The sequence below is a fragment of the Homo sapiens genome, chromosome 5 (genome assembly GCF_000001405.40).
Source record: "Homo sapiens chromosome 5, GRCh38.p14 Primary Assembly".
In the NCBI taxonomy this organism is placed as follows: domain Eukaryota; kingdom Metazoa; phylum Chordata; class Mammalia; order Primates; family Hominidae; genus Homo; species Homo sapiens.
In genome coordinates, this window is record NC_000005.10 from 131,471,010 (window position 1) to 131,493,616 (window position 22,607).

At 37.4% G+C, this 22,607-nt stretch overlaps 1 protein-coding gene across 6 annotated transcripts in view; it reads right to left on the reverse strand.

The window, feature by feature from the left end:
- Positions 1-22,607, reverse strand: part of RAPGEF6 (Rap guanine nucleotide exchange factor 6) — a 211,309-nt gene that overhangs the window by 47,089 nt on the left and 141,613 nt on the right. For all 6 annotated transcript variants that reach the window (NM_016340.6, NM_001164388.2, NM_001164386.2 and 3 more), the window contains exons 14-17: positions 21,573-21,776; positions 18,537-18,645; positions 8,504-8,744; positions 1,578-1,735 (exon numbers count right to left, since the gene is read on the reverse strand). In NM_016340.6, the coding sequence (NP_057424.3) occupies positions 1,578-1,735; positions 8,504-8,744; positions 18,537-18,645; positions 21,573-21,776 (712 nt within the window). The remainder of the gene's footprint in view (positions 1-1,577; positions 1,736-8,503; positions 8,745-18,536; positions 18,646-21,572; positions 21,777-22,607) is intronic.

The following is a 22,607-nucleotide window of genomic DNA, read 5'->3' on the forward strand; positions in this document are numbered from 1 at the left end:
GAATCCAGTTTGCAGTTTTCTTACCTCTGTGATATCTTAGTGCTTCCTTTACCCTTTCCGGTAAATAGTTTAATTAACTTTATACTTTGGTAACAATCTTCACATTAACTTCGGATCAAATAACTGGAGTGTCTTCTGTCTCATGAATGACATTTCACTAATATAAAAATCACTACAAATGTCTTAGGAAAGTAATGACTCATTAAATCTTTGTTCTAAAAAGAACACTGGTAGCCATGTAGAGAGTGTGATGTGCCAGAACAGGTTACTGGGTTTAATAATCGCTCTAGTGGTTAAGTGGCAACTGAAATATAAAGGAAGAAACCATGTGCAGAATGACCTTCACTAAACTGTTATTAGGTTATGTCCTGAGGTTTTTATTTAAGTTGCTATAATAAAACATGAACTTTACTACTGTACTTATATTTCCTTCTAATACCGAGATGGAACTAAGTTTCCTCCCTTTCTACACTAGCTGCTAGGAACTTTAGAGTCAAAATTGAAGGTGAATCAGAACTATGCTTATCTTTGTAGAAGCATTTTTTCTCCCACCTTTCCTTGGACCCAATTATATGTTTCAGTGCTTAATTGTATATGCCTTTTATTGAAAACCATCTCAAATCCGTTAAGTGATGGATATATAATTATTCAAAGTCGAAAGTTTTCTTCTTTGTAACAAAACTTTAGATTATATAACTGTGACAATTTTTGCCTCAAGACATGAATAGACGCAAAAAAAAAATAACTTGACATCCCACACTGGAAGTCCAAACAACAATGAAAATTATGCTATAACGCTCTGATAACAATACATGACAAATACAACTTCAGCTTCAAGTGTCTGAGGAAAAATCTGCTTTTACAAAATTACTAACACTTTTCTGTGTATTATAGAAAAAGGTAAGTGAGGCCACTTAGATTAAAATAATCTCCCTTATTCTTTTCCACACCCTGGGTAAGATATATCTTGCCTGAGAAGTGTCTCTGTTTTCATTCTACTGCTTAGATTAGGATTACTAAAAGATACCTAATTCTGTGGTTAGAGGTAGTCTCTTTTTTCTTTTCTTTTTTTTTTTTTTTGAGACGGAGTCTTGCTCTGTCGCCCAGGCTGGAGTGCAGTGGTCCGATCTCGGCTCACTGCAAGCTCTGCCTCCCGGGTTCACGCCATTCTCCTGCCTCAGCCTCCCAAGTAGCTGGGACTACAGGCACCCACCATCACGTCTGGCTAATTTTTTGTATTTTTAGTAGAGATGGTGTTTCACCATGTTAGCCAGGATGGTCTCAATCTCCTGACCTCATGATCCGCCCGCCTCGGCCTCCCAAAGTGCTGGGATTACAGGCGTGAGCCACTGCGCCTGGCCAGAGGTAGTCTCTTTTTTATGTACTTCTGTTTCACTTTAGAGGAAGTACCATTCAAATTAACAGAACAAGTCAATCTCCCTTTAGTTTTTTGCATCAAGTCATAATCTAGAGTTAAGAGGGCTGCAAGTAACTCTAGCACTTGCTGCACAAGGCTTAACCATCTATTTGTTCATTTGGTACCAATACGGCAATATAAAATCACATATGAAAATTACCTGAAGGATTGGAAAAATCCAACATACTGGTGGTAGGCTGCAGGAGATCAGGGCTGCTGGATGAGAGTGTTCCAGGGATGGGCATTATAGCCAGACTATGCCTACAGTGCCTTGTTCCCACAATGCTGTCATCTTGTGATTGGCTTAGGCCTCCATCACTTCAAAAGAATGTCATATATCACTTTAAAGTATTTGAGAGTACTTAAGTAGTAAACGTTTCTGTTCCCTGTGCACTAAGGCATAAAAGAACCAATTCAAAGAGGTGATTTAAACAACTGAAATACTACAGCAATTTTTAAAAGACAATTGTAATGATGAAAATGGCACTAAAATTTTTAACAATTACATTAAAATAAAATCTAACTTATACATCTAAGTAATTCTACTACATCCTAATTAAATTGTCTTATTTAGTGTCTACCAGTTTGGGTGAAGAAACTGAACCTGAGTATTTAGGGAACCCTTCAAATTTGCCAGTTTTAGTGGACACTAATACATGTATCCAAATATGCACAGCCACACCATAGCAAGGTGTTCTCTTTCTCTTTCCCTTTCTCCAGAAAATCTTGGTGATCCTCTAGGAAAAAGAGTCTACATTCAAACCAAAAACTATGGCAGGTAATAGATAACAATGGGGCCAAGGTCAAGTGACAAAGTAAGAGTGGTCTTTAAACACTGGACCAGAAAAAAAATAGAATTATGAAAATTACAGTCTCTAAAGTTCATTCTAAGGGTACATTATTTCTTATTTAATCTCTCAAGTCTAATTATTTAAGCAAACAAAATATTCTTCCTTTAAAATATTTTAGAAATGTGACATAGGCAACTTCTAAATCCACCTAGAGAAAAAATAAAAACAAAGAAACAAACACTGTCACTTAGGTTTTAGATACCCCCAAATTTTAGCTTACTTTTAAGCAAAACAGTCCTATAAAAACATAAGATAGCAGTGAAAAAAATTTCCATCAACATCAATAACCAAAAACTACTTCTAAGGGTTGTACTTACATTAAAACCAATGCTCTGTTACTATTAATTCTTGTCTATATTTTATCAAATGCAGCATTCTGCCTAGTACTTGCTATACATACCAACAGAAGTATCACAGAATACTTACCTATTATCATGAAAAAGATTAAAGTATAGTATTATAAATGAATAATATGAAATACATTTAAATTACACTAGATGTAAAATATAGGATTTTACGTAGATTAGAAAACTATGCAAGATGGAGAGTTAGACTGTTAAATAAACTGCTAAAGGACTGTTAATAGTCAGACATGAAAGAGAAGGCCAGGATATGACAGAGCTGAAGAGTCAGAGAAAAGCAAAGAGACATGGAAGAAAGCAAAGATTAGTGTTTCAAGGGCAAGCTTTGATGTCAGACAGACCTGAGCTACTAGCTGCTTGACTTCAGGCAAATTTCGTTCTCTTTATAAACTTTGGTTTTCTCATCTGTAAATGTGAGCAACACTATCTCCCCCAGGAATACTGAAAAATCAGGTAATATAGGCGAATGTTGTGGTGTAAAGGAAAACAGGACTTTAATTCTTAAGAATGGACTTACTTTTACAAAAATTAAAATGAGAATAGGGCGGGGCACATTGGCTCACCCCTGCAATCCCAGCACTTTGGGTGGCAGAGGTGGGTGAATCACCTGAGTCAGGAGTTTAAGACCAGCCTGGCCAACATGGCGAAACCCCGTCTCTACTAAAAATACTAAAATTAGCCAGAAGTCGGGTGGCTCGTGCCTGTAATCCCACCTACTCTGGAGGCTGAGGCAGGAGAATCGCTTGAACCCAGGAGGCAGAGGTTGCAGAGAGCAGCCTGGGTGACAGAGCAAGACTCCGTATCAAAACAATAAATAAATAAAAATAAAATGAGAATTGTACAAACACAGAAGGGAGAATTATTTATTTTACTCAGTTTATATTAAAAAGTAGAGGCAGGTCCGAGTAAAGGTACTAGAGAAACAGGAAGTGCTTTCCTGGGGAGAGAAGGCAGTCTAATTTGACAGATAAAGCAAAGGAGATATCTCATTTGATAAATAATTTGCATTTACTCTAAATTGACTCCTTATAATTTGGTTTGTATTCCTAAAGGTTAGAGTTAAATGTTCTAAGGTTAGGTAAGAGAAAATAAGAGGAAAAAGGGCTTTCAAAGGTATTTAAAGTATACAGAAAATAAAGATTTTTTAAAAAAACAGTCTTTCTTTAATTGACTTTTGAAAACAAACACATCAATTTTTGGACACAGAGGGTGCGACAACAATCCAAGGAAGCAAACCATTAAAGAGGTTGTCCAGTCCTACTAATAATTAAGTAGAAGCAACTTTAACAATGTTAAAAAGTTACAATTTTCTATTAAAGGGAATTAACTGCATCAACTGCAGCAAGCTGAATCACTATACAAATTAAGATGTACAGAAAATACGAAAAGTCCTTATATCTCTTGCTGATGCTATTTAACATCGCTTCTGCTTTTGAATGCTCAATAGAGAAAACACTGTATAGCTATAAATATGTAAAGCTGGTTACAAATTCGTAGTAATTAAAGTGTGAGGTGCATAAATGAAAACTATACTGCTATGTACAATCCATGCTATGCCATGAATGAAACAGTATTTAGTTGGCAAAATATCCATGCTTATTTGAAAGCTGAGTTGATAAAGCCCATTTGGCAAGTAATTGTATCATTCTTACCAAAACAGTCTCCTGAGAAGGTGATGCAGTAACAGAAGAAAAATCGTTTAAAAATATTCCTCAATACTTCCCCAACACTAAATTTACTTAGGATAAAAGTACTTGGTTTCATATTATGAAACTAAAAAGGCTACATAAATATCGCCAATATGTAAATAAAATAGAATCCCAATATTTAAAAAGCAAACAAAAATACGTTGACAAGAAATGGGGAGGAAAAATATAATTCCAGTTAAGCAAGCAAGGCAGTTTATTTCTGGGATTGTTACAATGAATAACACAGAGATGTTACTTAGGCAACTGTGATTTTAAAAACAAAATAAAAGCTATGTGATTTTTAAAAAAGAAAAACAGATTTCCTGAAATGTGAAGAATTCTTAGGTCAATAAAAACCATACTTCCGTCTTAACTTACAGATGTAATTCAAACTAGTAACATTTTTCACTTTAATTTTTAGGAACATTCTTTTAAAATTATATCATGGTTTGTTTGGGATTTTGGAATTATCTATTCTTATCTCAAGTATTTGTTCTTTCCTTACATTCTTTCTTTTCTATGACAACTCATCCTCTACTCTTACAGAACTGAGTGCTGCTAAAGGCAGAGAACAAGTTTCTGTTCTTGGTGCCTCTTCCAAAGAGGTCTGGCACACAGGAGATGCTCAGAAATTGTGAAACTGAACTCATTAAACATTTTTTTCAATTAAAAAATAACAAATGTTCAAGAAGAAAACTTGTAAAATACAGAAAGAAAGCAGAGAAGGAAGGGAAAAATTACCTATGAAACTATGCCTTCCAAAAACCACAATCAACATTTTGATATTTTTCCTTCTAGTCATTTTTCTGATGTGTAGTAGAATTTATTTAACCAATCCTTGTAGTTGGACATTTAGGGTGCTCCAACTTTTAGTGTAGATAAAACAACTTGGAGCATCTATATATAAATCTTCATCTAATTACTATTAGAAACAGAACTACTGAATCAAATAATTTTGTCATTTTAAAATATTTATTGGCTAGTGCGGTAGCTCAAACCTGTAATCCCAGCACTCTGTGAGGCTGAGGCGCGTGGATCACCTGAGGTCAGGAGTTCCAAGTCAGGAGTTCCAGACCAGCCTGGCCAACATGGTGAAACCCTGTCGCTACTAAAAATAAAATTTATTTATTTATTTATTTATTATTTTTTTGAGTCGGAGTTTCACTCTGTCACCCAGGCTGCAGTGCAGTGGCACGAGCTTGGCTCGCCACAACCTCCATCTCCCTGGGTTCAAGTGATTCTCCTGCCTCAGCCTCCCGAGTAACTGGGATTACAGGCATGTGCCACCATGCCCAGCTAATTTTTGTAGTTCTCTTGCCTCAGCCTCCCAAGCAGCTGGGATTACAGGTGTACGCCACCATGTCCAGCTAGTTTTTTTATTTTTGGTAGAGATGGACTTTCACAATGTTGGTCAGGCTGGTCTCAACCTCCTGGCCTCAAGTGATCTGTCCACCTCGGCCTCCCAAAGTGCTGGGATAACAGGCGTGAGGCACCGTGCCCAGCCAGAATTTTGCCACTTTTAAAGCTTTTAATAGAAAGGCATCACTTTATATTAGCACACCAGTCTAAACTTTTATAAACTTATAACATTTTCAATTCTGTCCCTGACCATTCTTTTTGTCAATCTGTGAGGAAACAAATGGTATCCAGTATTAAACTGTATATCCTGGATCAATATCAATATAGATCATCTGAGTCATGTTTTCTGCCTATTTTTCCATTGAAGTTTTAGTGATTTTTTTTTCCTATTTGATTTCTGAGAGCTCTTTATATATAAAGGGTAGTATACCTTTGTGTAGCAGAAGGAATTGTCTGAATTCACTTCAGATGACTGTCAAGAAATATAAGATACATTCTCCGAAATGCAAAAAGGCCAGTCTGATAGGTAAGACAGCTCTCCCAACAAAATAGGCTCCAGAAACCTTTGACTTCCAAGATAAACTATTTTTTCTGTATTTATGTGGCTGAAATAATTAGCATTTTACTCCTTGGAAACATGTTTGGAAGGGACAGACAGGTTAATATAAACTTCTGCAGTGCAGCATTTTATTCATATTTATATTCATAACCAAGCATTTTCTTGTTGGCACAAAGCAAGAGACCCAATAATCCCTTCTGAGTTTAAGCAAAACTATTTTTACCAGATAGTCCTCTTTTTTGGGTACCAATATAAAGTTATAATGCTTGAAAATACTCAACTGACTGTTCCTGGCGACCTCAGTTTTACACCTCTTGCTGTAACCAAAGACAGAATTCAGGTACAGTAACTAATTCCCACACCCTCACCAAAGGATAATGTGGAGATGAGATACTGATTTAGCTGCCTAAAACTTGAGTACAGCTGGTGAGAATGTGATAGTAACAAGTTGAAGAGAGTTGTAATTACAGTCTTGTCTGTCTTTAGATGATACATGTCACAACTGTGTCGCTGGTCAAAATGAGACGCAGTTAATGGAAGAAAGATCTATTCCAGACAAAACCCATTAAGGCTTCTGGAAGTGGAACTCAGGGCATTACCCCCTGAGGAATTCTCCTCATGCATTCTTTTCTGCCTTCTGGATCCTCGGTTTTGTCCCTTTTTCACAGTGACTTCCAGTCATCCCCAACCATCCCTGACCTCTTCAGTGTGGGCTGGCCCCTCTAACATTCTCCTTACTCGATCCCCATTTGTGAGACCATGCCTTTTCTTACAGTGTTTGCTACAGTACACTTGACATTCAAAATTTTGGTATTTTAAAGTAATGATTTTTATAAGCCACTCACCTCAAGGATAGAATGAGTAATGAACTTTTAGAAAAAACTCAGGGTATTTTAATCCTCTGAGTTCCAAATTAAATGAGGAGAAAATGTGTTTCCCTGACTGGAAATAAGAACTCAGGAAGATGAGGATATCTGATTGGAAAAACTTCGAGATTTTTAATTATTGAAAAAATATTTAAAAATAGCTATCATTAAAGATGAGAGTTGACACAATTCCAAGTTGCCTCCCAATTGTTCTCTCTGCTATCACTGCTATATTATGCTGTATCCACAACCCCAAATCACTAACACAGCCATCAGAGAGGTCTTCCTAAAAGAACAGATCTTATCAAATCCCATGTCTTCTTATGGCTCCCTGTCATGACATGATGAAGTCTATTATCTTTAGCATAATATTCAAGGTCCCTCATAACCTACTTCTCTTGCTCTGGCTCTAGTTACATATACAGAAACACAATCTATTCAAACCTAACAAGTTTGTTCCTGCCTCCACTTATCAACCTGTAACATGAGAACTTTGCAATTTGCTTAGATTATCAACTCTTGGAGGATAAGAACCTTGATCTATTTATCTTCCTGTCTCTGGCTTAGTATATAATAAATGTGTACAGAGTAAGGGTTCCTGATGTGAATTTCTCAGAGGTAAGGACCATCCCTTTTTGTTCCTATAACTATAATCTGGCACAATTACCAGGAACTTTCAGGAGGCAAGTAAGTATTTTCTTTTAATGTATTTTTTGAACTTGCTTTATTTCATTCACTGATTATTCACTGTCTTAACTTATTCAATAAATATAAACTGAGTGCCTACTATGTGCTAAGTATTGTACTGCTCTTGATTAGAACTTTTGTAATTGCTTCAGGAAGCTGCTAATGTAATATATACTAGAGTCATCGCCAATCATGACACTTTAGTGGACTAATTCCATCAGTATTTTACAGACCTTAATTTACATTTAAAATCTTCAAGTATTACTAAGTTTTGGTGATATCCCATTTTGGAAATAGAAATAGGTCTGATTAAAAAGTTCAACTTTAGAATTCAAGAAGGAATAAATGGTGCTGCAAAGGAAAAATGATTAAAAAAAAAAAACTGGTGAATAAGTCCCAAGATTTAAGGTGTACAATTTGTAGAGATCAGGAGACTAAAAGTGGACCAAAAATATTTAAAAATGGATTTCATAAAATAAAATGGACAGTCTTTCCCAAAATTCAAAATAATGCTATTATATAATCTGAAAGTAGTAACTTCATGAAAGTGATAGGGAGAAGTTCAAATGTATTCTTATTTGAGTACTGTTTGAAGACTTTATGATACATTAGTTATATAACAAAGCAAAACTTACCCAAGCCTCCCCCCACCCCAAATAAAAACTTTACAGTGAAGATGAAAATTCCTGCATAGCTAAGATCGGCATTACCTACCTAAATAGCTTTGGAGGCAAGATACTAAATCGTGTTTTATCCAAAATCTTCCTGATTTTGTTTCTTCCACCTGAAACAGTATTTGCTTTAACTTTCTTACTTCCTTTCTCCTGTGATGTCTGTTCAATATCTCCTGGCACATGCTGGATAGAATGGCGATTACTTTTTTTTTCAGCAATTTTGGGAATATGAGGAACACCAGATTTCTCTTGTTCAGTCCTAAAAAGTAACTCTTTGAACACTGTGGAAATAAAACAAATGCGTCATTTTATTTCTTCTCTTCAGAAAATTTTTATACCAACAACAAATTTTAAGGATAAACACAGTGACTTTCCATTATTTGAACTTTCTCAGTCTCATTCAACTAAACACTGTCAAGTATTTACCCGTCCTTTAGCAGCTATATCTTCTTCTTTCTTTAGTTTTTATACCTGATTATACTTCTGATGTTGCCCAACACTAATAAAAGGAAAGTCAGTGGGGGGAAAGGGAAAGGAAGTGGGCAGGCTGCAGGCAAGTTTGAAAAAAAACAGAGGTTCCTATTTAGGTAATAAGTAACATAACTGCTAATCAACTAATTTTATAGAAACAGATACTTAGGTTCTATTTTATGTTATTTCTTATAATACAGCTGACCCTTGAACAACACCAGTTTGAACTATGTGGGTCCATTTATACTTGAATTTTTTTCAACCAAACGTGGATTGAAAATACAGTATTCTTGGGATGCAAAAACCTGCGTATGGCTCTGAAGAACCAACTGTGGGTCTTGAATATGCACAAATTTGGGTGTACATGGGGTGGAGGTCCTGTAACCAACCCTATGCATATACCGAGGGATAACTACATATGTCACTTGAGATGAGACCTCACTACTGTAGTCAGGTTCAGATTGTAAAATTTAGATGAGAAAAGCTTTGCTGGACTTTATTTTTACTTTTACCAAAAGCAGTAATTTTGGTTATTGATTGATTGACTGATTTTGAGACAGAGTCTCACTCTGTCGCCCAGGCTGGAGTGCAGTGGCACAATCTCAGCTCACTGCAACCTCCATCTCCCGGGTTCAAGCGATTCTCTTGCCTCGGCTTCCAGAGTAGCTAGGATTACAGGCATGTATCACCACACCCGGCTAATTTTTGTATCTTCAGTAGAAATACGGTTTCCCCATGTTGGCCAGACTGGTCTCGAACTCCTGACCTCAGGTGATTCGCCCACCTCGGCCTCCCAAAGTGCTGGGATTACAGGCATGAGCCACCATGCCCGGCCTAATTTTGGTAATTTTAATTTGGTAATATATATCGATTCCTCACGGTCACATTTATGAGGCTATGTCATTCAGTAAAGCTGCTAAAAAAATATCCACTTCAGTGGTCTGAAGTAAAAACAAGTAACAACCAATCATATCTTAGATACTGCTTTTTTTTTTTTTTAATTTTGAGACAGAGTTTCGCTCTTGTTGTCCAGGCTGGAGTGCAATGGCGCAATCTTGGCTCACCACAACCTTCACCTCCTGGGTTCAAGAGGTTATCCTGCCTCCCAAGTAGCTGGGATTACAGACATGCATCACCACACCAGGCTAATTTTGTATTTTTAGTAGAGATGGGGTTTCTCCATGTTGGTCAGGCTGGTCTCGAAGTCCCAACTTCAGGTGATCCACCTGCCTCGGCCTCCCAAAGTGCTGGGATTACAGGCGTGAGCCACCATGCCTGGCCCTTTTTTTTTCCTTTTTTTGAGAAAGGGTCTCACTCTGTTGCCCAGGCTGGAGTTCAGTGGTGTGATCAGGGCTCACTGCAGCCTGGACCTCCCTAAGCTCAGGTGATCCTCCCACCTCAGCCTCTTGGAGCAGTTGGGATTACAGGAGTGTGCCACCATGCTGGGTTAATTTTTGTATTTTTTTGTAGAGATGGGGTTTCGACATGTTGCCCAGGAATGACCTCGAACTTCTAGGCTCAAGAGATCTGCCCGTCTCAGCCTTCCAAAGTGCTGGGATTACAGGCGTTAAGCCACCGTGCCCGGCCTCAGATATCTTTCTATCAAGTCTAACTAAGTCTGGTGAATTATTTCATCCTTAATGAGGGTGCAGGTACATTTGGGAAATTACCTGTTTAGCAATCTATTTGCCTACACCAAATTTTTGCCTTGTGAGGATGGCTACATCTCCTTGGGATAAAGCAAAGATAAATCTGTATAAGGTTAAATATCTAGAAATGATGAGTCATGGTGCCTGAAGAAGTCTGAATTACAGAGAAACAGTGGTTGCATATTCTTAGAATAGACTTAAATGGCTTCAGCTGCATGAGCTGTGGAAGCAAACACTCAGCTTATCATTACATACAGCTTTGAGCAGTATATGCTGCACCTTTTTTTATTTTTTAAGTTGTAAATTGTGTAAATATGCCCACTGAAAAATCCAATCACAGAGAATTTTTTTGGAAAACGACAGAAAAGGAAAGTAAGAGTTTCCCACAAAATCAAAGAACTTACAAGTAAGATAGAAATGGATAAAGCCTTAAGAATGGATTAAAATACTTACAACTTGGTATTCACTTGTAAATCTGGACTGATTTGAGGGTTTCAACAGAAGGATGATACCACATTACCAAAGCACAGCGCAAGTTTATGAAAAGCACATTTTTCTGCTATCAAAATGATGGAGACTTTTTAGAAGTTACCTTCCATAAAGTCTGCATGATTAAAATAAAATATTTAACAAATTTCACTTGATTTTAAGCCATATGGTAATATATACACACACGTGTGTGTATGTGTGTGTGTGTATACATGTATATATGTACATTTATATATGCATTTTTTGGAAACAGGGTCAGGTCTCACTCTGTCATCCAGGCTGGAGACCATAGCTCACTGCAGCCTTGACTTTATGGGCTCATCTGATCCTCCCACTTCTGCCTCCTGGGTAGCTGGGATGACAGGCATGTGCTACTGCACCCAGCTCATTTTTTCTATTTTTGTAGAGATGTGGTCTCACTATGTTTCCTAGGCTAGTCTTGAACTCCTGGGCTCAAATGATCCTTCTGCCTCGCCCTCCCAAAGTGATGGGATTACAGGGGTGAGCCACCACGACTGGCCAATACTTTTTAAATCTAAAATTCAGACATTCATTCAAAAAATGTCAACCTGTAAATATAGGTCAGGCACTTCACTTGATGTTTGTATATTACTACTGTTGTGGAACTTACAGTCAGTCTAAGACGCATAAAACATAACCAGAGGAACTACTTAAAACAGTAGGAAAGGGCAATCTTCCTTAAGCAAGTCATCTTGTAAAAAGAAATCAGAAAGATGAGAAGATTTTAACTAGGCAAAGGATGAGTAATCTTAGGTAGAGAAAATCTCAAGTTCAAAGTCCCTGTGGTAGAAGGAAAGTTCAAGAAAATTAAAATGACTAGAGAACAAGCTAGAGATGAGGCCAGTTAATGCTATGCTAAAGTATTGAAATTTTCTGTTAGAGCAAAAGGAAAACTTTGAAGGGGCGATTTCCTTAGTAGTGTGTATATAAGGTAACTGAATTATTTTTTAAAATTGTTAAATTTGGCTGGGTGTGGTGGCTCATGCCTGTAATCCTAGCACTTTGGGAGGCTGAGGAGGGTGGATCACCTGAGGTCAGGAGTTCGGGACCAGCTTGGCCAAAATGGTGAAACTCCATCTCTACTGAAAATACAAAAATGAGCGGGGCACGGTGGCGCATGCCTGTAATCCCAGTTACTCCAGAGGCTGAGACAGTAGAATCGCTTGAACCTGGGAGGCGGAGGTTGCAGTGAGCCGAGATCGAGCCACTGCACTCCAACCTGGGCAACAGAGTAAGACTCTGTCTCAAAAAAAAAAAAAAAAATGTTAAATTTCTCCACTGGACATGAGTATGTAATTATAAGCAAAAATTTGTGGAGCTTGTAGCTTGTTTTAAAGAAGAGAAATGATTGCGTTAAATTAAAAAAAATAGGGACAAAAATGAAAGGATAGTGAGTACACATAACTACAATGCTATTAAACAGCAATATCAGACATTGTACATGAATCAAAAGTAAAAGTGCCAAAGAATCTATAAAAGCTTAATAAAACTGACTACATAAAAATTAAAAATGTCTCTTCCCACATATGTATATATGCGTTCACAAACACACGAAACAAAAGTCAAAACACAAACCACTTAGGGAAAATACTTTCAACTTTTCAACTCTTTAAAAAGAGTTGAAAGATACTATTTTAATTTATAAAGTGGTCAAACAAGTCAATAAAAGATGAGTAACAATATAAAAAGGGGCAGATGAAGTCAAGACTTTACAGAGGCCGGGCGTGGTGGCTCACACCTGTAATCCCAGCACTCTGGGAGGCCGAGGCAGGTGGATCATGAGGTCAGGAGATTGAGACCATCCTGGCTAACACAGTGAAACCCCGTCTCTACTAAAGAATACAAAAAATTAGCATGGTGGCAGGCACCTGTAGTCCCAGCTACTCGGGAAGCTGAGGCAGGAGAATGGCATGAACCCAGGAGGCGGAGCTTGCAGCGAGTGGAGATCGTGCTACTGCACTCCAGCCTGGGCAACAGAGCGAGACTCCATCTCAAAAAAAAAAAAAAAAAGACTTTATAGAAAAGAAATGCCAAAACACACAAAAAAGGTGCTCAACCTTACTTGTTATTAAATAATGTATATCAAAATTTAAAAGACTGATTATACCCACTGCAGAGGCTTTTTTTTTTTTTTTTTTTTTTTGAGACAGAGTCTTGCTCTGTTGCCAGGCTGGAGTGCAGTGGTGCGATCTTGGCTCACTGCAACCTCCGCCCCCAAGGTTCAAGTGATTCTCCTGCCTCAGCCTCCCGAGTAGCTGGGACTACAGGTGCATGCCACCACACCCAGCTAATTTTTGTATTTTTAGTAGAGACAGAGTTAGCTAGGATGGTCTCAATCTCTTGACCTCATGATCTGCCTGCCTGGGCCTCCCAAAGCGCTGGGATTACAGGCGTGAGCCACTGTGCCTGGCCAAGACATTCTTATACACTGATGAATGAAGCATAGATCGTGATAAACTTTCAGAAAGTAAAACCCTGCAGTGTCTGTCAAAAGTAATTCCACTTTGAGAAATGTATCATATAGGTGGATCTATATGAGCATAAAAGTACAAAGAATTTTTATTATATCTCTGTTAATAGCAAAAACTATAAACAATCTAAAATATCTATCAATATGACATTAACTCAACAGATTATGGTAATAATAGAATTCTATGTAATAATAAAAATTATATAACAAGTAGGTCTGTATGAACTGATGTGAAAAAGCACAGAATATTGTACACAGTATGGTTCCATTGTATATCTATTTTTAGTATTTTAGTTTTCAAAATATATGCACTTACTACTTTTATTAAAACTTAAAAAGACAAGTTATCTGAAAAATGGGATTTTTGGGTTTAGAGACAGAGTCTTGCTCGTTGCCCAGGATGGAGTGCAGGGACACAATCACAGCTCATTATAGTCTTGAACTCCTGGGTTCAAGTGATCTTCCTGCTTCAGCCTCCCAAGTAGCTGGGACTACAGGTGCATGCTACCATGCCCAGCTAAATTTTAGTGTTTTGTAGAGACCAGGTCTCACTATGTTGCCCAGGCTGGTCTTGGAACTCCTAGCCTCAAGTGATCCTCCCGCCTCAGCCTCCTAAATTGCTAGGATTACAGGCATGAGCCACCATGCTTGGCTAGAAGTGGGATTTTTAAAGATTTTAGAAAGCTGTGGAAGCCAAGAGGAATAAGTTAAAATTCCAGGATAGGAAGAGAGTAAACTGAGACTGCCAGCTGTTTTCTTCTCTGGGTGCATTTGCTAAATCTAAACATGAGGTGTGGGTCAGGTAGAGGGACTCTTCGAGGAGAGAGAGAACTTTAGATGGCTGTGAGCACTTGCATGAAAACTAGAATTCAATGAAGCCTAAAAGCAGTGTCACTTTTCTCCACAGGACAACTGCTATTAGTAGGAGTTCCCTTTTCTCATTCCTCAAGCCAGGCTTCTCCTGGATCTCTGTCTGTACCACAGTACTCACATCCAGGTTTTAGGTTGCCTTGAGTCCAACCTAGGGCATACTAGAATTAAAATAATAGTGAATTCATTGCTGGTAGTGGTACTTTGAATTATGGTATTCTTCTGCGAATTGCCTGTTGCTATTTGCTTTTCAGAGTTCTCAGCTAAGTGGGTCATGATTCTGTCCAGGTTTACTATTAAGTTCAGTGAGAGATGAAGGGTGGTGTGTGTTTACTCCATCTTATCTGGAAATGGAACACTTAATTTGATTTTTATCTTCATGGACATAAAAGATAGCAAACTTAAAATCTGTGTCTGATATTCTGGAGCAACTGTGCTTCTGTTTCTGTTGGTTCTGGCTCATACTGACTTTTAAGAGTGCCTCATAATCTTTGCTTGACTCTGTTTTTAAAAAATTATTTTTAGAAATAACAAGTTGCTGTTAGTATCCTCTAAAGAACATATTTATTTTCTTTTGTCAGGCACCTATAATCTAAGTCCAGGGCCAAAACTGTAAGTTTTTCTTGGTCACCTAGATGGTCAGTTAGGTACAGCGCACATCCACTTCAGAGAGAGGTTTTCAAAGTCTCAATCCTAACAAAGGTTGTAATGCTACTATTTTATCCTTTGGTGGGCACTAAACTACAAACCTGTAAGTTTATCAAGGAGCTCCTCTCAGTTTTATTCTACGGATGGGAAAATGGCCCTGGAAAAAGAGACATCACTTTGGGATATGGTCCCAGGAGTGGGAAAAGGCTTTGACACATCCAGAGTTTTTCACTATCTTTTTGGATTGTTATGTTTGTTTATAGTTTTTCATATTTAGTCTAGCTCTTTTAAGTTGTCTTCAGTCAATACTGGAAGTAGAAAGTTGACACAAGTTTTGTTTAATACATTTTCCTCAGCTCATAGTGAGGCCTTTGAAATACGAGAGTCACATCCTTCTTTTACTCTGGGATATTCTCTGCTATTATTTCCTAAACATCTTCTTCCTTACATTTTCTTTTAGATATCCTGGAATAGAGCTTAATTTTACTTTGTCTTTTTGTTCCATAGTATGGGAGATTTTTCTCAACTTTATTATCTATTCTTTCAAACAAATGTTTTTGTCTGTAAGAGTTACTTCTTTCTCAATGATTGTTGTTTATTCTTTCCTAATATCCTGTTCTTGTTTCAAGGGATAAATTTTTTTTTTTTTTTTTTTTTGAGATAGAGTCTCGCTCTGTCCCCCAGGCGGGAGTGCAGTGGCGCAATCTCGGCTCACTGCAAGCTCTGCCTCTCAAGGGATAAATTTTTAAATTGCTCTGTGCAGCGTCCTAGAAATGTTTTTCTTCTCTCCTTTAAATATTTTCTCCAGAATCTATAAGATCACTCATTAGGTCTCTACCACACCCTCTCAATGATCCTGATTCTCCTTATGCTTGGTGATCCCTGATCGTCAGTTTTAAGTAATAAAAGGACTGAGAATGGTTTGTTCTAGTATTGTGTCCAGAGTTGGTTCCTTCCGGTGGGTTCCTGGTCTCGCTGACTTCAAGAATGAAGATGCAGACCTTCACGGTTGAGTGTTACAGCTCTTAAAGATGGTGTGTCTGGAGTTTGTTCCTTCAGATGTGTCCGGAGTTTCTTCCTTCCGGTGGGTTCATGGTCTTGCTGACTTCAAGAATGAAGCCGCGGACCTTCGCGGCGAGTGTTACAGCTCTTAAAGGTGGTGCAGACCCAAAGAGTGAGCAGCAGCAAGATTTATTGTGAAGAATGAAAGAACAAAGCTTCCAGAGGGTGGAAGGGGACCCTGGCAGCTTGCCCCTGCTGGCTGGGGTGGCCAGCTTTTATTCCCTTATTTGTCCCTGCCCACATCCTGCTGATTGGTCCATTTTACAGAGTGCTTGATTGGTCCATTTTACAGAGTGCTAATTGGTCCATTTTACAGAGTGCTGATTGGTGCATTTACAATCCTTTAGCTAGACACAGAGCACTGATTGGTGCGTTTTTACAGAGTGCTGATTGTGCATTTACAATCCTTTAGCTAGACACAGAGTGCTGATTGGTGCATTTACAATCCTTTACCTAGACCCAGAGCGCTGATTGGTGTGTTTTTACAGAGTGCTGATTGGTGCGTTTACAATCTCTAGCTAGACAGAAATGTTCTCCGAGTCCCTACTTGACCCAGGAAGTCCAGCTGGCTTCACCTCTCAGTATCACTGAACCAATGTCTTCTGGTCACAGGTTTCCTTTTTGTAGGTGTCCTCACTGTAAGTTTGATACAGGACAACCTAACTGCTCAACTCTATTTCATGGTAATGCCAGAGTTATTAGGGCTTTATTAGGGGCATCACCACATCTAGAGTAAAATGCTCCATTTCTACAAATATTTTACAAATATTCCTTTGTAATTTAATAGATAAATTAAAATTCCAGAATAGAAAGAGAGTAAACTGAGATTGCCAGCTGTTTTCTTCTCTGGGTGCATTTTCTAAATCTAAACATGAGGTATTTAGCTTTCTCCTTGGTGTTTTGCTTTCCTCCTAGGGTAAGGAAGAAAGAGGTGACTGCTATGTTCCCCCTTTGCAGCTCCATGTAACTTCTACCCTCTGCTATATCCAACCTAGGGTTCTGTTGGCCAACTGTTTTCCCACTACTCAAAGGGTTCTGAGGGTATGGCTTCTGTCTTTTGCATCCTTCAGATCTACTTTTCTGTGTCCCAGAGTTCATGGGGGTTCACACTATCTCTGTATTTTTATTCAGAATATTTAATACCAGTTAGTAATCTTTATGTGACGGGTACAAAAGGTTTAAAGGTATTAGATACTTAGAAGAAACCTAGGAAATAGTGCTAGAGAAACTGAAGCTTGGAAAGACTAAATAATTTGCTCAAAGTAAGAGAGCAAGTCCTGCTTTCTTATTTTTCGAAACTGGAAATCTCTTTCATTTAACCTAAAAGTTGGCATTTCTAGATATTAGTCGAAACTCCAGGAAATCAAAAAATTCTGAAGGCTTACTTACTTATTCTATGCTAAAGTAATATAATACTAAATTGCCAATTGACAGTTTACCAGATTTAACATGATGTAATTCAGTCAAAGGGACTCAAAAAGAGGAAAAACCCCACGTTTCATTTTTCATTATGACTAAGCACAATATAAAAAGCCAAAGTGAAAAAAATAAAACTCACACTTCCCTTCCGTAGGCATAGCTTTTAAAGCCAACTCTTACTTCTCAAATTGTAACCTAAAAAACCTAGAGAGATTTGTTTTCCTCCCTACTTCATAAGGACTCTTAAAGTTTCTTTGTTATTTCAATTGCTGTATGATTTTTACTGTTACTCTTTTCAGAATTTCTGAAAAATCCTAAAGTGTCTAAGGCAATCAAATCACATTAAATCTTTCCTAAAAGTTTAAAAAAACACACAGTAGATTTGGTTAAAAGTATGAGCTTAGTCACTGGTTTTATTTAAATATAAACATGATAAAAACACAACAGAGGCACTGTAATCATTTTTCCACACAAAGGTAGAGTATGCTCTTATTAGAAATCTGTAATTCACTAAGTACTTAAGTCAATGCTTTACTCAGTTTATTTCCATAAAACAGCTAATCTGGCATTCATATTACTTCAGAAAGCTGGCTTAAAGATTAGAAGTAGACTAATTTGCACACTAGCTGGGGGAAAAAATGCCTGATTATGACTTCTTAGTTTTATTCCGGACATTCTATATTTCATTCAGTATCCCTCCAGCAGAGTACATAATACACGCTCCATAGGAATTTCATAAATAACTGAAGGTAGCTGTACACCTATTTTAAAACTTACTATCAAAATAATTAAAAACATAATGAAAAATGAAAATTCTAGAATACATAATAGTTCAAAACTAAAGATTCTGAAACTAGCTGAAGAGCTTAGACAAAAACATGTTTATATTTTACTATCTTTTCTTCCACTGTAATGACTTTTCTATTACCAAATTAAGAAGAAAGAGTTCAGGCAATTTTTACAACAAAACTCACCAAAAATGTTGGTCTTCACAGTAAGTGCAAGATGAGTATTATTCCTCAAAATTTCAACGGCTTTCATAAATGTAATATTCTCAAAGTTTTGTCCATTTACTTCCATAATCTTAAAAGTATTTAAAAAATACAAATTAATACAGAACAGTATTAGTTACTCCTACAACCTTAAAAGTTTAATAGTGAATAAATAAAATGAAACTTGAATAAAATGTACTCCTATGTGAACAACAGTTATCTCTGTGAGAAGCTGGACTACTGTTTTTCTTTTTCTCTATATTGTTGTATTTTCCAAATTCTTTACTATAAACTTTTTTTTTTTTGACAGTTAATGCCCTCTGGGATCATACTGAGGAAATTTAAAAAATACCCACACCAGATGGTTTACAAAGGAAAACATTTAATCATGGCAGATCAGCTCATAAAAATTATTGCCTGCAAATGTATATACAAATTTGTCAAATATTCTCAATGTAAATTTACTGAATTTCAAAGAGAGGTAATTCTTTTAAAGGGAGTACTCTAAATATATTTAATATGATTTTCTGCCACTGATTGAATCAGGCAGCCAAACAGCAAGAAGCACAACTGAAATGGGTTCTTCTTCCAGGTAAACACTGCTGACCCTTCACAAGAGGGCTTCCCCAATTTGGCTATACCTCAGAATCATAGAAGCAGTTTATTTCAAGAAGTACTGATTCTAAGGGAAAAGGATAAAAAGATATAATGAGCAAAAACTAGTCAGAACAGAGAGCAGATCTAGGGGATCAACATAAAAATTTCTAAAGGATAAGAAAAAGAGTGAAAAAATATTAGGGAAAGAAAAAAAAATTCCATAGAAGTAAAATTCCCAGAGTTGAAAAAAGACTTGCATCTATGCACTAAAATGTCTCATCTAGTACCATGCAAAAATAATAAAAAGAGATCTATTTTTAAAAACATATCCCAATGAAATTTCTTTGTTCCAAGAAGAAAGAATAAAGAATCTATAAACATCATTGTGGGAAGATAACCCAAAGGTACCTACAAAAGAAGCGCAAAGAGTTTGGACTTCTCTTGGGCAACATTAAGTTGATGTGATAACTTTCTGTGACTTTAGTATTCTGAGGGAAAAGTCACTGTGGGAAAAAAATGTTACGCTCTATTGAACACAAGTATCTTCAGGAAGGCAAGAACATATAATACTGTATCACCCATCTGTTCCTTAAAAAAGTACTAAAAGAAGTACCAAAGACAACTGTGAAATGAGTTGAAATAATGGGGATATACAGTGCAAATGAAATAAAAGTGATCAATGAAATCAGTTAAGCAGGTGTAAATGTCTAAATGCTTGTTTAAAAGCTTATGAAACTTAACTCAAACATCAAAAGCCTTCTTGAAACAGAAGATACATAATGTTAAAAAGTAACAATAATGTAGATCTAAAATCTCAGATCATTTCAACAGTAGTTGGGAAGATTGAAGGAAGAAGTAAAAGCATGATAAATTTCATTCTCAAGAATGATTTCACGTGTGTGTGTGTGTGTGAATTAGATTATTAAATGTGTCTGTGATACAAATAACTGAACAATAAATATACTGATTACAGGATTCTAGCTATTAGACATTCCTAATGAGTAGTCTGGGGTCAGGCCCAGAAAACTCTATTGTGGAAGCTGTCCTGGGAATTGTAGGCTGTTTAGCAGCATCCTCGGCCTCTGTCCACCAACATGCCAGTAATAATCCCCAAGTCATAATAATAAAAAATATCTGCAGACATTGCCACTAGTTGAGAACCACTGTTCTAGAGTGTAGAACCTTTCATAATATGAATGAGCTCATAATTTTTAAAAAATGATAACATGGCTCCGTTAAAATAAAGCCACATTCTAAAATGAAAGAACAAAATTTTAAATGGGGAGAAAGCAAGTTTCCTAAATGATTCTGATGATCAGGCAGATTTGGGAAACCACCCTTTGAAGTACATGAGAATCATCTAGAGCAGGGGTCCCCAACCACCAGGACACAGACCCATGGCCTGTTAGGAACTGGGCCACACAGCAGGAGGTGAGCAGTGGGCCAGTGAGCATTACCGCCTGACCTCCACCTCCTGTTAAATCAGCAGTGACATTAGATTCTCATAGGAGTGTGAACCCTGTTGAGAACTGCAAATGCAAGGGATCTAGGGCACTCCTTATGAAAATTTAATGTCTGAATGCCTGATGACCTGAGGTGGATCAGTTTCATCCAAAAACCATCTCCATCACCCCAGCCCCAACTCCCTGGTCCGTGGAAAAACTGTCTTCCATAAAACTGGTCCCTGGTGCCAAAAAGGTTGGGGACCACTGATCTAGAGAGCTTTGTTAAAAATACAGATGTTCAGACATCATTGCTTAAGAATGTGGGCAATATGACTAACAGGATTGAGAGAAGCCTGAGAATTACATTTTTTATGTAACAAAGTTGCCAGCAGATCACATTTGGAATAGGCTGCTCTATACTTACCTAATGCCTATACCAAAAAATAAAAATCACCATCAAATTCCTAAGAGTGTCTTTTTTCCTAGTCCCCCATTTGGCTCACTTTGCTTATGGATATAGTTATGTTACCATATGAACATAATTTAATGATTACCATAACCTTCAGTAATCTGCAGCCACTTACATTTGAGAGTACTATGAGGTAGAAGTGCTGTCTTCTTCAAAACCTGCAAGGGTGCTAATTCATATATTGATCGTTCTGGAGTATTCTCAAGTTGCCAGCTTATACAGTTTCCTAATCCATGAAGGATAGGCAGGCCCATTCAAAGGAGGTCATGTTGATAGAGCTCAGTAGACCATGTTATTTCTGGCCATACTACACCAAATTTTCCATTAAAAGTAATAAATATATGACAAATACTTTTAAAAATAAACCATATGCAGATACTACCTCTAAAAAAAGGCTCAGAAAAATATTTCCTTAAACTGATCATGCTTTCTGGAAGATGAGAACAAAAGCAGCAGGCATAATACTTTTAAGAAGGCTTGAATATAAGTGGTTGGTTATTTCCTTACCTGATCACCACGTTTCAGTCCTGAATCAGCAGCTTTGCTACCAGGTTCTACTCCTTCAACAAAAATACCAAATCCCTTCTCACTCCCTCCATTAAGGCTGAATTGTAGAGGGGACTCGCGGGAAGCCTTTTGCAGCACAACCTGTCTCCACTTAGCCTTTGCAGCACAGGCAATATTCAATAACCGGAGATGACCATTCATCTTCTGTTAAGCAGAAAAGGATAAATGTATATAAATGTATCTATTCCTATAGGTTTTTAAAAAGTCAACGAAAATTATTAGAATTAGAGTTATAAATATACATGTATAAGCTGAGGTAAACAAAATTGAAGAAGGGGGCACTCCCACGCCAAAGCACTCTCAACAAGATTTCTAAATATGATTATAAGACTTTTAAATTATCATAGGTAGATTTCCAAGTGATGTCTCATTTACAGAGACATGACAAAAAATTACCTATCATTTATTTATTTATTTATTTATTTATTTATTTATTTTTTTGAGACGGAGCCTCGCTCTGTCGCCCAGGCTGGAGCACAGTGGCGCGATCTCGACTCACTGCAGGCTCCACCTCCCGGGTTCATGCCATTCTCCTGCCTCAGCCTCCCGAGTAGCTGGGACTACAGGCGCCCGCCACCATGCCCGGCTAATTTTTTGTATTTTTGGTAGAGACAGGGTTTCACCATGTTAGCCACGATGGTCTTGATCTCTTGACCTCGTGATCCGCCTGTCTCGGCCTCCCAAAGTGCTGGGATTACAGGCATGAGCCACCGCGCCCGACCTACTTATCATTTCTTAAACTTTTCCTAATACACACTCTACTCCCACCTTGCTTATCTCCTGGCTGTTATATAAAACCAGAATCTTTTAAAACCTTTATTCAAAACCTTGAACAACTTGAACCACCTTTTTAAATATTGTCCAATGTTCAAAGAAACATTCAAGTTTTCATCTCGTCCAGAAAAGACTTCCTTCTTGTATTATTTTAGCTCTTCCTTAAACTCAGTAATAGTCTACCAGTTCTAATTCCAGTTT